This window comes from Homo sapiens, chromosome 6 (assembly GCF_000001405.40).
Source record: "Homo sapiens chromosome 6, GRCh38.p14 Primary Assembly".
Lineage (NCBI taxonomy): Eukaryota > Metazoa > Chordata > Mammalia > Primates > Hominidae > Homo > Homo sapiens.
The window spans coordinates 11,782,095-11,796,520 of record NC_000006.12 but is presented as its reverse complement, the minus strand read 5'-3'; the positions used below and the strand labels follow the sequence as shown (position 1 = coordinate 11,796,520).

The 14,426-nt window shown below is 44.0% G+C and overlaps 2 annotated features.

Moving 5' to 3' along the window:
* Window positions 1,385-1,953: an enhancer, noted in NCBI's record as "H3K27ac-H3K4me1 hESC enhancer chr6:11794801-11795369 (GRCh37/hg19 assembly coordinates)". NCBI's record gives its function as "activates a minimal SCP1, AML or CMV promoter by ChIP-STARR-seq in primed H9 embryonic stem cells {active_cell/tissue: H9 hESC(primed)}" and the evidence as "EXISTENCE:reporter gene assay evidence [ECO:0000049][PMID:30033119]".
* Window positions 1,954-2,522: an enhancer, noted in NCBI's record as "H3K27ac-H3K4me1 hESC enhancer chr6:11794232-11794800 (GRCh37/hg19 assembly coordinates)". NCBI's record gives its function as "activates a minimal SCP1, AML or CMV promoter by ChIP-STARR-seq in primed H9 embryonic stem cells {active_cell/tissue: H9 hESC(primed)}" and the evidence as "EXISTENCE:reporter gene assay evidence [ECO:0000049][PMID:30033119]".

Here is a 14,426-nt window from a genome sequence, read left to right as displayed (position 1 = left end):
GGACTATAGGTGCCAGCCGCCACTCCCAGCTAATTTCTTTTGTATTTTAATAGAAACGGGGTTTCGCCGTGTTGCCCAGGCTGGTCTCAAACTCCTGAGCTCAGGCAATCCACCTGCCTCGGCCTCCCAAAGTGCTAGGATTATAGGCATGAGCCACCATGCCCGGCTGAAGCCAGGATTTGAGGTAGGTAACTTAGGACTTAGGACTCACACTCTCGGCCACCATGTGTAAATCTTTTGCCTTGATTAGCTTTGGAATTCACACTTCTTCAGAAGCCAGCATTTCACTGCAGGCCAGCAGCCTCATGAAATTATAACAGAAAACGATTCGAGAGCCCCTCAAGTCAACTGGTAGCTGTCAGACGTTTCCTCAGGCATCCTCTCATTCATGGCATCCTAAGGATGACGCTAGTGGTAGACAACAGACCCTTGAACAGCAAGATCCCAGGCTGCAGGTTAGACTCTCCTACTTGGCCACGTAGCCTGATGGCTTCTGGACTCTGTGTTCTCTTTTTGCTCCTGATCCAGTGCTCATTTTGAAAGTTACAGCCAGATGGATGAAAACAGGGATTGTCACATTTGCCCTATTCAAGGGCCAAGGACTACATAAAAACTGTTTTCTGTTACCAAAGTGGTGGGAAGGGTATTGTCATGCAATGAATCCCTGAAATGAGGTTACTGGATGCAGTGCAGTAATTATTGCTCTCCAGAACAGAAAAAAAAAAAAAGCTACCTCCCCAGCACTTCAAGCAAGTTCATTGAGAAAGCAGCCTCATGGTTTGAGGATAGCCTTGAAGATAAATGGCTACACTCCATCTATGACCTACGTAGACCTTTTCCAAATCATTTTGACATCACTCCCTCTGAATGTTAGAAGGTAAACACAGGAAGAGAAAGGGCAAAACATGGTGGAAAGAAATTTCGACATCGTTCAACCAAAGTATACAAGGGAACAGGTACTGGAGTCTAGGGTCAGGAGACAGTTGCTCTAACCAGCTGATAATCAGCTGTACTTCTGTCCACGGAGCTCATGTCTACAAAACATTATTATACTCAGCAGGCCAGGGTTCAAAGAAATCTTTCTTTGAAAATAAGAGAGAGAAGCTAATTTTATTTTACACTGGTGTGTGATTTATTTTGGGCACCCACAAAACAAACTGGACTCATGCTGAGTGGCCTAAAACACCATGAGCATTCTAGAGGAGATTGGTGGAAAATGCTTAGTGTCCATGAACCTCAACCAACTAGATAATGTGAAGCGATCCCAGATGATTTATTAATCTGCAATAATGCAGACTTGTTTAGCAAGGAGAAAATACCACGGAGGCCGATGGGTGTGACCTTCAACTTCAGCCGTTTTGTAAACAAGTGTTCTATGAAGTTTCGTTTTATTTTCACACAGTTTGAGGATGGCTTTCTATCCGCAGGGCAGTAAACGATTAACCAAAATAGCTCCTTTTAACCAAATGAGTGTGAGGAACTCTGAGCAATCTGGCAGCTTTTTTTTTTTTTCAAGATAAGGAGATTTTAAAAAGCACAGCAACATTTTTCTTGCTTTTATGAAACACTGCCCTGTGCTTCCAGGCAGAAAAGCAAAAACTTTTGAAAGGTCATGTGATGTCATTTCAGCAATGTAGAAAAAAAAAAATCAACTAACAACCAAAAAAGATAATGATCTTTGACAGCGTGTTTTGTGTTTTTGTTTGTTTGTTGTTTTTTAGACAGAGTCTCACTCTGTCGCCCAGGCTGGAGTGCAGTGGTGCAATCTTGGCTCACTGCCACCTCTGCTTCCCAAGTTCAAGCGATTCTTATGCCTCAGCCTCCTGAGTAGCTGGGACTACAGGCACCTGCCACCATGCCCAGCTAATTTTTCTATTTTTAGTAGAGACGGGGTTTCACCGTGTTGGCCAGCCTGGTCTCGAACTCCTGACGTTGTGATCCGCCTGCCTCAGCCTCCCAAAGTGCTGGGATTACAGGCGTCAGCCACCGTGCCCGGCCTGACAGCATGTTTTAAAGCAGAATGTAAGTATGTACACATTCATGTGTAATTCTGAAAGGATTTCACTTTGAAATTGAATGCCTTAATAAAGACGACTTGTCCGTGAAGGGCTAAATTAATCTTTGAGCTGTGTTGTACAGGAAATCAAATCCTGGTCTATCATAGGAGCCATCATTGACATCTTCCATGAGGGCAAGTGTGGGCAGATATAGAAAGAAGCAAATAAAGCCTTTTCCTCTTCCCAGGGAAAGGAGTTGCTTCAGAAAAACACTGGAGAAGGCCATAAAGTGCTTCTATAAGGCTTTAGAAGAGTTTCCATCTGCTTCGCCTCATAGGATCGTGCCGTGTCTCACACTGGGGACACTGAATTTTTCTGGTTTTGAGAGCAATGATCCTCAACTGGAGGTGATTTTCTCCCCCAGGAAACTTTTAGTAATGTCTAGAGACATTTTTGGTTATCACACTGGGAGCCCCCATGGTACTAGATAAACCAAACAGATGAATCTAGCATCACAAAGGCCCAGAAAATTAAACTGTCATCAGAATCATCGTGTACAAAAGTCAGGCCAGGACCCACGTACCAAACCTAAGCAGGGTGGCTGACTACTAAAATAAAATATTTAAATAAGACTTAGAGTCTCCAAATAGTCAAAATACAAAATGTCCAGGTTGAAAACAGAATAAATAATAACCTTGGCAGATTACTCATTGCAGATTTGCTCACACTCATTTGGTTAAAAGGAATTATTCTGGATACAACTGAAAAGTAATAGTTATATCAAGAATCAGGAAAATCACAACTTTAATGAAAACAAGATAATCACTGACACAGAGGTGAATCAGATACTGGAATTATCTGATAAAGACTTTAAGGCAGTTATTATAAAAATGCTTTAATGAACAATTATGAATTCTTGAAACAAAAATAGAAAATATCACCAAAGAAACTGAAGTTATTTAAAAAGTACCAATGGGAATTATAGAACTGAAAAATATAATAACAGAAATAAAAACTCACTGGATGAGCTCAATAATAGAATGGAGATGACAGAGGATAGAATCAAAGAACTTCAAAATAGATGAATAGAATTTACCTAATCTGAAAAACAGAGAGAAAATATCCTGAAAAAAAAATGAACAGATCTTCAAGGAGCTGTAGGACAATAACAAAAGATCAAAAATTCGTATCCTTGGATTCCCAAAAGGAGAGCAGAAGATGAGTGGTATTGAAAGGGTATTTGAAAAAAAAAAAGAAAAAGCTGAAACCTCCCCAAATTTGCTAAAATACATAGACCTACTTCTTTAAGAAGTTGAACAATCAAAATAGGAAAGCCCAAAGGAATCCATGTCTTGACACACTGTAATTAAACTTCTGAAAGCGAAGGATCAAATCTTGAAAGTAGCCAGACCATAACGACACATTTACCACAGGGAAATACAAACTCAAATAATAGCATATTTCTCATCTGAAACCGCAGAGGCCACAATAAGTGACACAACATTTCTTAAGTGCTGAAAGAAGGACTGTCAACAGTGAATTCTATCTCTTACAACACTCTTCTTCAGGAATACAAGGGAAATAAAGACATTCTCTGATGAAGGTAAATTTAAAGGATTTGTTGCAAACCTAAAGGAAGTAGAAAAGAAGTGACTCAAACTGAATGACAGTGATCAAAGAAGGAAACTTGAAACATTGGGAAAGATGAAAGAACAATGTAAAAGTCAGGAATACAGACAATAGACTAGCTCTTCTCAGGAATTTAAAACATCCTTTTTTTTTTTTTTTTTTTTTTTTTTTTTTGAGACGGAGTCTCGCTCTGTCGCCCAGGCTGGAGTGCAGTGGCGCAATCTCGGCTCACTGCAAGCTCCGCCTCCCAGGTTCACCCCATTCTCCTGCCTCAGCCTCCTGAGTAGCTGGGACTACAGGCGCCTGCCACCACGCCCGGCTAATTATTTTGTATTTTTAGTAGAGACGGGGTTTCACCGTGTTAGCCAGGATGTTCTCGATCTCCTGACCTCGTGATCCGCCCATCTCGGCCTCCCAAAGTGCTGGGATTACAGGCGTGAGCCACCGCACCTGGCCAAAAAATCATATTTAATGATTAGAACAAAAAATTACAATAGCATCTGAGATTCAAGACTATGATGTTTAAAAGTGGGCAAAGATAAAGGGATTAAAACAGAAATAAGGATTCCATGCTTAATTTGAAGTGGTAAAATATCAATGCCAGTAGACTGTAATAAGTAACATTTGTATATTGTCACACCCAGAGCAACTGCTAATAAAATTACATAAAAAGGTACGTTCAAAAACGCTATAAGTAAATCAAGATGGAATCCTTAAAAGTGTTCATGTAACACACAGGAAGAAGAAAGGACCAGAGGCACAAGGAGAGGAAACAAAGAGAAAATGAATAATTACACAGAAGACTTGAGCCCTAATAACAACTACTTTAAATGTAAATGGTTTAAATACACCAACTGTAAGGCAAATATTGGCACAGTGGATAAAAAACAAAACAAACACAAACAAACCATGACTCAACTATATGCTATATACAAGTAACTCATTTTCATTTCAATGAAATAGGTAGGTTGACAGTCAAAGGACTAAAAAAATACTGTGTAAGCATTAATTATTTTTTATAAAAGAAGGAATAGCCATATTTATTTCAGATAAAGTAGAATTTATCCAAGCAAAGAAACTTCTAGAAACAAAGAGCGATGTTACATAATAATAAAAGAATCAACCTACTGTAAGGGATAATGGGAAGGACAGCTGAGAAAGGAATGAGGCCAATAGACCCAAGTTCAGGCAAGCTGATTTATTGTCAGTGCTGCCGGGCTACATCCTGACCAAAGCCGAGGAGACAGCCAGGCTTACAGACTACCACAGGGCTTTATAGGGCGAGGAACTGGGTCAGGGTTGGGGAGCTGAGTTGGGTGAGTAGGTGGGCTGAGTCAGGGTTGGGGAACTGAGCTGGGTGTGCAGAAGGGCTGAGTCGGGGTGAGGGAGATGAGTCGGGGGTGCAGGTGTCTTGACCGCATCCTGGAGATGTTTTTTGCCAGATTTGTTACGCAAGGTGAACAGACATGTTAACTGCATCCTGTAACTGCCTGGACAGTTACTGGAGGGGTCAGTGAAGAGGGGTTTGTCTTTAGCCCTGGGGGAGCTGTGCGGAGGTCACAAAGGACTGCATTGTAAGACCCATGGGAAGGGAGGGAAAACAGTCTGGTCGGAGTGACCCTAACATTCCAGCCTTTTAATAGATGATAGGAAAGGGGGTGCCATTTTTTGTCTGGCTGCTTCAGGCTGAGAGGGCAGTGACTAGGAGAAAGGCTGGAATGAGGGGGTGGCTTTAGTTTTGAAATTGTTGATACTCCTGGAGTAACATTATATCCTGTATGGTTCCATGGGCAAAGGCTCAGATACGATTCTGCAAAAACTGGGTGAAGAAGTGTATTAAGCAAGGCCTGAAGATTAGGAGGAAGAGAAAAAGAATTATAACAGGTCCAAGGAGAGGGAGTAGGCAGGGGGCCCAGGTGCTGAGAGACCAAGAGGGCCAAGAGGGCCAGGTAGAGGAGCTGCTTTCCCTGATTTTTTGGGTGCATCTTTGAACTTGTTTTACTGCATTCTAAACTAAGCCTGACTGGTTAAAATAAAAGCAGCATTCTTCATCTAGGAAAAATGCAGAGTCCTCCTTTGTCAGCGGTGAGTAGGTGGAGACCTCTGTGATTTTGTAAGGCGACTGCCGCTAGGGAGTCTAGCTGAGTTTGTAAGGTGGATATAGACGTTGCAAGGTCATCTACACCATTTGAAAGGTCCTTTGATAAGGTTTTATGGTAATAAGAGGAGGTTGCGATTCCTGCTACTCCAGTGCCTGTGGCTGCTGTGATGCCCAGGCCTATGAGTAGTGGGATAAGCTGTATGGCCCGGCGCCTGTGGTGTGGGATTTGAGTATTTAGGGTTTGGAGAGGCAGGTTTTCTCCTGGAGCTATGCCTATTTTAGGGCTGAGGAAGACCAGTGTACAGGTGCCTGTCCAGTTGGTGGGGAGACAGAGGTAGGTGGAGGTGCTGCATAGAAAGAACACACCTTGGCTAGGGAGGCAGAATTGGAAATGTATGGCAAAAAGGGGATGTAAAATGTTTTCTGAGCATCAGGTGTGGAGGGAGGAGGCTAGAGCCACTCCGGTTAGGGGTTGAAGGGGGTGTGTTGAGTTGAGCTGGCTAGCTCCTACTGATGAGTTTTCTAAGTGTAGAAAGAAACATTTTGTGTCAATAAGTAGTCTGTTTGAGGGTGTGTTAGGCAGTGGGATTTCCACGCATTCGGAAGTGGGGACGGGGTCTAGACAAGTGCTCCACCCTGCGATTTCTATGCAGGGCCTATGTCGGTTATTGCAGAATCCTGATGTTTCTCCTGTGACTTGGGCCTGAGGGGGGTTGGAGATTTTGAGAGTTTGTGTGGGGTTTGTTACTGTTACTGTTTGGATGCCTGTCGGGGGAGTGAGTGTCAGGATATAGTTGCATAAGCTAGAGGAGAGGGTGCCTAGGGGGGACTCCTGAGGAAAGTTCACATTTTATGCATAGGAATGCTTGTTGGCTGAGTTTTGAGTCTGAAGTAAGTGCTCTTAAGATAACCTTGCGTTCTGAAGTATGTGTGGTAAGATTGAGTTTGTAACTTTTGAGTGCATTTACTCCTCCGAAACTTTGGTAGCGGGGGTGGAGGGTTATACTGATGAGGACCCAGTCTTTGAGGGGAACTGGGAAGGCATCCTTTGATATGGTTTCTGAGGGGTGTACACAGAACCAGCAGGCCTTGGCCAGAGAGGGGTTAGTCTGATTGAGTATCCTATGTGCCTGTTGAATGGCGCGCTGAAGGTGGGAGCGGTAGTGAGAAGGAGGAGGAGTAAATAGACAGAGAGCAAGTGTAAAGGTAAAGAATTCGGCTTCATCTGGAGTGAATTCCTGTAAATCCCCTTGAAATATAAGATCGGTGATCCAGTCAAGTGCCGTGAGGGTGGGATGTTCTGGGTAGGACCATGAAATTCTGTGATGCAGTGAAGGAAGAGGGTGAAACGGCAGGACGGGCAAAGACAGGACATTTAGGAGGGGCAACTCTTGGTGGTGGTTATTATACCTGCTATAAGGAGGATTGTGAGGCAAAATGTTACAGATATGAAAATTTTTTGTTTGAAACTCCACCCAGGAGGTGAGACGGTATATAGTCATATGGCAAAGAGTAGAGTAAGTAGGGTGATTCCTGCAAGGGCAGCGTAATAGATGATTTCCATTAATAAGCGTTTGGATACTTAATGGTAAGGGGTGATAACTTGTCTGTTATGGTTCACTGGGGAAGAGTGGGGTCTTCTGGGATGGGCATTAGGTGGAGTTGAGTTTTTCCAAGAAGAGTGCTGGAGTATTTATAGGAAACAGCTGGTTGGTTAGTCAGTGGCGGGTCAGCGGCAGGGGCTCTTTTTAACCTGGAAAGATGGTACCAAGAGTTGTGTCCTGAAAGTTTGGCTGTGGTGGGGGTAGTGAGAAGGACTTGGAAAGGGCCTTCCCACTTCAGTTTGAGACTCGTTGAAGTAAGGGTTTTTAGGAACACATATTCTCCAGGAAGGAGTGCCTGGTCGGTGGGGCCTTGGTGGGATTTTGGGAGGGCCTGGTCTGCTTGTTCGTGGAGGGGATGACGGATGAGGGAGAGTGTTGGGAGGTACTCTCCTAATTGAGAGTTAGGAGGGAGTCTGTTTTGTAAGAGGAAAGGGCGTCCGTACATTAACTCAAATGGACTGAGGAAGGAGGGGGCTTTTGGACTGGCTCTGATGTGAGCCAGCGCTATGGGTAAAAAGGAGGTCCAAGGTTTTTTGATCTCAAGTGTGAGTTTGGTTAACTGAGTTGTGAGAATTCCGTTTGCCCTCTCGACTTCTCCAGATGACTGGGGCTGATATGGGATATGGAGGCGCCACTGAACGCCAAGGGATGGGGAGACCTGTTGGGTAATTTGGGAGATGAAGCTAGGCCCATTGTCTGATTGTATGGGGCTCGGGAGACCAAATCTAGGGATAATTTCTGATATGAGAATTTGAGAGACTTCTGCAGCTTTTTCTGAAGGGGTAGGAAATGCTTCTACTCAACCTGAAAAAGTGTCTACGAGGGTAAGAAGATATTTAGATTTTTTGACGGGAGGCATGTGGGTGAAGTTTACTTGCCAGTGCTCCCCTGGGAGTGTTCCTCTGAGCTGGTATGTAAGGATGAGGAGAGGGCAGAGGGCCCCTTGGGAGGAAGTAACAGAGCATATACGACAGTTTGAGGTTATGTCCTTTAGTGAGATGAATAGATGGGGGGAGGAGAAACAAGGGCGAAGGAGTAGGTATGGGGGCATGCACTGATATGGAAGGGTTGGTGAAGAGGTGTTAGAATTTCCTTGCTTTGCTCTTGGGGAAGAACAGGCTTTTGATTTTTGATTATCCAGTCCCCTTGAAGGGAGGCTCCTTGCTGTAGTAGTGAAGACTTTTCAGTGGGAGGGTATCTGGGCGGGACTGCTGGGGTGACAAGGAGGATGGGGGCAGGGAGAGGAGAAAGGGAGTCCTGTTTTGCTGCCTCGTCGGTCTTTCTATTTCCTTTTGAGATTTCATCTGATCCTGCTTGATGTTCTCGACAGTGTATGACTCTTGCTTCAGTTGGGAGGTGTGCGGCCTGAAGGAGTTGGTAAATAAGGGGGGCCGTTAGTAATGGGGGTTCTTTTGGCGGTAAGGAATCCTTTCTCTTGCCAGATGGCTGCATGGGAATGAAGAATGTGATAGGCATACTTAGAGTCTGTGTATATGTTGACCCATTTGTTTTTGGAGAGGGTTAGGGCTCTGGTGAGCGCTATGAGTTGTGCCTTCTGGGAGGAGGTTCCTGGGGGTCGGGTTTTAGCCTCAATTACATGGTTTAAGGTAACTACTGCATACCCAGCAATTTTGGGAGAGACGGGGGCTCCGGAAGATGAGCCAACTATGAATAGTTGGTCATCTGGGTTAGTGAGAGGCTCGGAGGAGATGTTAGGGAAGTGTGGCTGCAGGCGATCCAGAATGTCAGTGCAAGAATGAGTAGGAGGGGAAGAGGATATGGGGAGTAGGGATGCTGGGTTGAGGGGTGCGCTTTTGGTGAGGCTGAATTCAGGATTTTCAATAAAGAGGGCATACAGTGACTGAATTCCGGAAGGAGAGAGGGAGCTTAACACCCGGGAGGAGAAGAGATCCTGTAAGTTGTGAGAGCTGTGGACAGTGGTGCTTTGGCTGAATGTTAGTTTTTTACTTTCCAGAGCTAAAATGGCCACTGCTGCTAATGCTCTAAGACAGGTTGGCCACCCTCTGACAGTGTTGTTTGTTTTGAGAGGTATGCCACAGGGGTAAAGGAAGGAGGATTTCCCTTTTGTTGCCCTAAGACCCCGAGAGCTATTCCTTGGTTTTCGGTGGCATAGAGAACGCAGGGTTGGGAGATGTCGGGTAAGGACAGGGCAGGTGCAGTGACGAGAGTGGTTTGGAGTCCACGGAAACTGGGAAGTATGTTGTGTGTGGGGCTTAGGGGTTCATTGAGAGGGCCTTTGGCTGCTTCACAGAGGGGCTGAGCCAGGAGGGCAAAGTTGGGAATCCATGTCCTAAAGAAACCTGCCAGTCCTAGAAAGAGAGAAGTTCATTTTTTGAGGAAGGCGGGGGCAAGCTGTTTATTAAGGTTGCTTGTGCTGGGGTCATGGCTCGGGCCCCGGGGGAGAGTTGGACTCCTAAGTATGTTACTGTTGGGGTAGATAGTTGGGCAAACAACAAATCTCTATTAGCATTTATAATTTACCTGCTACCATGAATAGTGCTGAGGGCACAGAGATGTATCAGACACCCCTGGAGGAGCTCATAGTGATTGGCTGCATCAGTGAAGGTTCCAATAGGAAAAGGCATTTCCCTCAGCTGAGAGTTTAATGATGGGACTATTAGCACAAGGATGGGCAAAGGTAAGACAGTTCTGTAAGAACTGTGGAAGTACAGATCAGCTGTAAAGGGAATGAGCCATCTGAGACGGGCTCTGTGCACATTACGAGGGTAGGTGGAACAAGTACAAGTCCCGCCGACTTGCCTTGTCTTCAGGTTTAACATCTGAGAGCTATATTGGTTAGCTGTTTGTTTAGCAACAGCAGCTGGAGAACCCCTCTCTTGTGTCAAAATGAAACCACACTTCAGCAGACTTGTTCACCATAATCTCAAGGACTCTGTGCCCTGTGTCCCTATTTCCTGCTCATCGCTGCTCAACCTGCAGACGTCACCTAGGAGTGTCGTCCAACCCCTCCCGCTGCAGCTGGCGCCATGGTGTGTGTGGGGGTGTGTGAATCTGTGTGGGGTTGGGGCATTTCTTCAGAGGCCAGCCCTGGTCAGTTGCTCCCTTAGTTCAGTTGGCGTCCCAGCTTTGGGACATGAGATAGTCACTGTTGCAGGTTCCCTGAACCCCATTTCATACCGAAGGAAATTAACACCCCAGAGAAGCTGATGGCTGATCAGCTCCAGGTCCTGAAGCATATACAGGCTTGGACTCAAGCCCCTTGCCCTGACTCCCTGCGTTTTGTACCTTATCCCTTGGTGACTGGCCAAGAAATGGGTTATATCTTTACCAGGAAAAACTGTTATTTGTGCCGGTGGCCATGACTACTTTACTGTGGGACTCCTTTCATCCTTATCTTCTCCTACGTGGTGTCTGGAGTTTCCCATGACTTACTCAATGCATTCATCGTTAGCTCAATCTTCCATATATTTAGAATGACAGAATAATGTGCAGGATAATTTAGGCTCCATTAGTACTTTGTGCATACCTCTATTATAGTACTTATCACATCATGCTGTAATTTTTTGTTTACATACCTGTCTCTGCCACTTGGCAGTGAGTTCCTCCGGGGCTCAGGCTGTCTTACTCATTTCTGTATTCCACCTCCTCCCCACAACCCAGCAGCTGAACACGTTGAACACAGTAGGTTTTTAATGAATGAGCCGGCTTTAGGGTAAGGCTCGGTAGACTGGTACACCTGGTATTCCACATATTCATTTATTCAGCAAATATTTTCATAACTGCTACTATTTTTTAAATTGCCAAATAAAAATTGTATACATTTGTGGTGCACAACATGATGTTTTGAAATCTGTATGCACTGTGGAATGGCTAACTCAAGCTAATTAATATATGCATTACCTCACCTACTTATCCTCTTTTTGCGGTGAGAATACTTTTTTTTTTTTTTTTTTGACAAGGTCTGACTCTATTGTCCAGGCTGGAGTGCAGTGGTGTGATGCTGGCTCACTGCAACCTCCACCTCCCACACTCAAGCAATCCTCCCACCTCAGCCTCCCAAGTTGCTGGGACTACAGGTGCACATCACAAAAACATAATTTTTGTGTTTTTAGTAGAGACGGGGTCTTGCTATGCTGCCCAGGCTGGTCTCAAGCTCCTGGGTTCAAGTGATCTTCCCACCTCAGCCTCTCAAAGTGCTGAGATTATAGGTGTGAACCACCATGCCTCGCCAAGAATACTTAAAATCTACTCTGTTAGCAATTTTCAAGCATACAATACATTATTACTAATTATAGTCACCATGTTGTACAATAAACCTCTTACACTTATTCTTCCTGTCTAACTGAAATTTTATATCCTTTGACCAACTTTCCCCAACCCCCACTCCCACCTCCGCCCCAGGCCCGTGGTGACCTCCATTCTACTCTCTGCTTTTTTAGACTGCACATATAATGAGGTCAAGGAGTATTTGTCTTTCTGTGCCTGGCCTATTTCACTTAACGTAATACCCTCCAGGTTCACCTGTGTTGTCACAAATAGAAGTTTCTTCTGTCTGAAGACTAAGCGTTATTCCACTGTGTATCCGTACCATACTTTCTTCATTCATTTATCCATCGATGAACACTTAGGGTGAGTCCCTGTCATGGCTATTGTAAATAAGAATGTTGCAATGACTGTGGGAGTGCACGTGTCTCTTTGACATACTGATTCATTTTCCTTTGGATATATACCCAGTCGTGGGATTGCTGGATGATATTATAGTTCTATTTTTAATTTACTGAGGAAATTTCATACCGTTTTCCATAATATCTGTGCTAATTTATTTCCCACCATCAGTATATCAGAGTTTTCTTTTCTCCACATCTTTGCCAACACGTGTTTTCTTTTTTCTTTCTTTCTTTCTTTCTTTTTTTTTTTTTGGATAACATCCATTCTGACAGGTGTAAGGCGATATCTCATTGTGGTTTTAGTTTGCATTTCCCTGAGGTTTAGTGATGTTGAACATTTTTTATATATCTGTTGGCCATTTGTATGTCATCTTTTGATGTCTATTCGGGTCTTTTTCCCATTTTTTAAATTGGGTTATTTGTTTTCTTAGTCAGCAGATGTTTATTAGGTACTTACTGTGTGTCCAGCACTATGCTAAGCTCTGGGAATTCAAACACATCATATGTGAACCCTAGGAGATAATGACGTACAAAAAAGACTAATTCCTAATCATTATGCAACATGCAGGGATGCATAGCAGGTTAAAGAAGACAGGAGGGAGCTGTTTAAGATGGCCAGGTTGTGGTGGCCATCCAGGAAGGGTTCCTGGAAAAGGAAGCTGCTGAGCTGCATTTTAAATGAGGGTTATGACGTAACCAGTCAAAGATATGTTGAGAGGAGGCATCAGGGAGAGGAGACAGTAGGAGTAAAGGTGCCGGTATGTGACATAGCCAGGTGTGGGTGAAAAGCTCTGTCAATGCAGTGTTGTTGGAGTGACATCCAATGTGGGATGCCACACGAGGATGGAGAGAGCCAGTGGGAAGTGGGCAGGTTATTAAAAGCTATGAAACTTGGATGTAATGCTGTGGGTGATGCTGATGTAGTAAAACGACATGAGCTGGTGGGGGATGTGGCATTTCAGAGAGAATCACTCACTGACCTTGTGAAAAACAGCGTTGGGGCATCAAACTAGATTCAGGAAAACCAGCTAGGTTGCTGGTTGCTATGGTGGTGGCAAGAGATGGAGGCCACTTGAACGAGGGCAGTTGTAGAAGGGATGGAAAGAAAGGGACTGATTTGACCCTGATGTAAGAAATGAACTTGGCAGGATTTGGTGGTTAACTGGATTTGAAGAGTAAAAAAGCGGGAGGACACAGGAAGCTCCCAGGTCGATGGTGAGGCCATGGTCACAGGACAGAGACTAGAGAAGAAAAGCCTGGTTTGGCGGAAGTCAGTGAGCTCGTTTTAGACGTATGGAGTTTGAGGCGTGTCTGTCTCCTTCAGGAGATTCCAACAGGTAGTCAAAGATGTGTTTGAAGCTTGGTGGGGATAGGGAGAGGGCCTGGACCAGAGGTATATAATTTGTGGTCACAAACTGGAAGGCAGTGGTAGAAATTATGATCATGGATAAAATCACTAGGGTGAGTATGTGTTGGGAGACGGACGGTAAGCTGGACCAGCTCTCTGGGGAATGCCAACACAGAAGGAGCTGGTGGAGGAAGAGGAGCTCATTAAACAGACTGAGAAGGATAGTAAGAGCATGTTGGGAGAATAAGCCTTGCTCATACGTGGCTTCCTTAGGGCTAGCTTCCCTGACGCCCTACCCACACCAGGTCTGATACTGCCATCCCCTCTAATAAGTCTGCTGTGTTTGTCCTTCACAGAAGTTGCCATAGTTATAAATTAACACTTGTTTTTGTTGTTGCTTAATGTTCATCTTTCCTGCTAAAATATAAGCTCCATGAGGGCAGGGTTTGCATCGCTCTTCTTCCTCGGGGAATCCCCAGGACCTAGCAGATAGCTGTTGCTTAATAAGTATTTGTGAAATTAAAGAATCATGTTGCGGACTCCCAGGGGGGTAGAGAGTTTCAAAGAAAGTCACTCTTAGTAACCAAGTGGCCTGTGTAGTATCCAAATCAAAGTATGAAATATGCTTATTTTTAAATGTTTAAAATTTCCTGTGTAAAATAATAAAAGTTTTGAACAATTCCTTCCCACTTCTCCTGGATATGACGTGAAGCCCTCAGATACTTGGAGAAAGGAAAAGGCAGACAAACAGCACGCTTAGTATGTATTAGTTTATAACGTGCAACTAAGAGGTGACATTCATTGCTCTCCAAAGCTCCACCTGGTCTCATGGTGGGGAACAGATGTTCAGGCTACTTCATGAAAATGGATCTGGTTATTCAACCAGGAACACAAATTATGATGTGAATATGGTTGCAATGTAGATTTTTCATTGGCAACAATTTTGTGAAAAGTTTATAAGAAAATGCAGATGTTGAATTAAGAAATAGTTTTATTTCTTAAAATATTAAAATATTTCTTAAGAAATAAAACTATTTCTTAATTCATAATCCTTAACTCATAATGTAATCCTTATATACATATATTACATGTAATTAT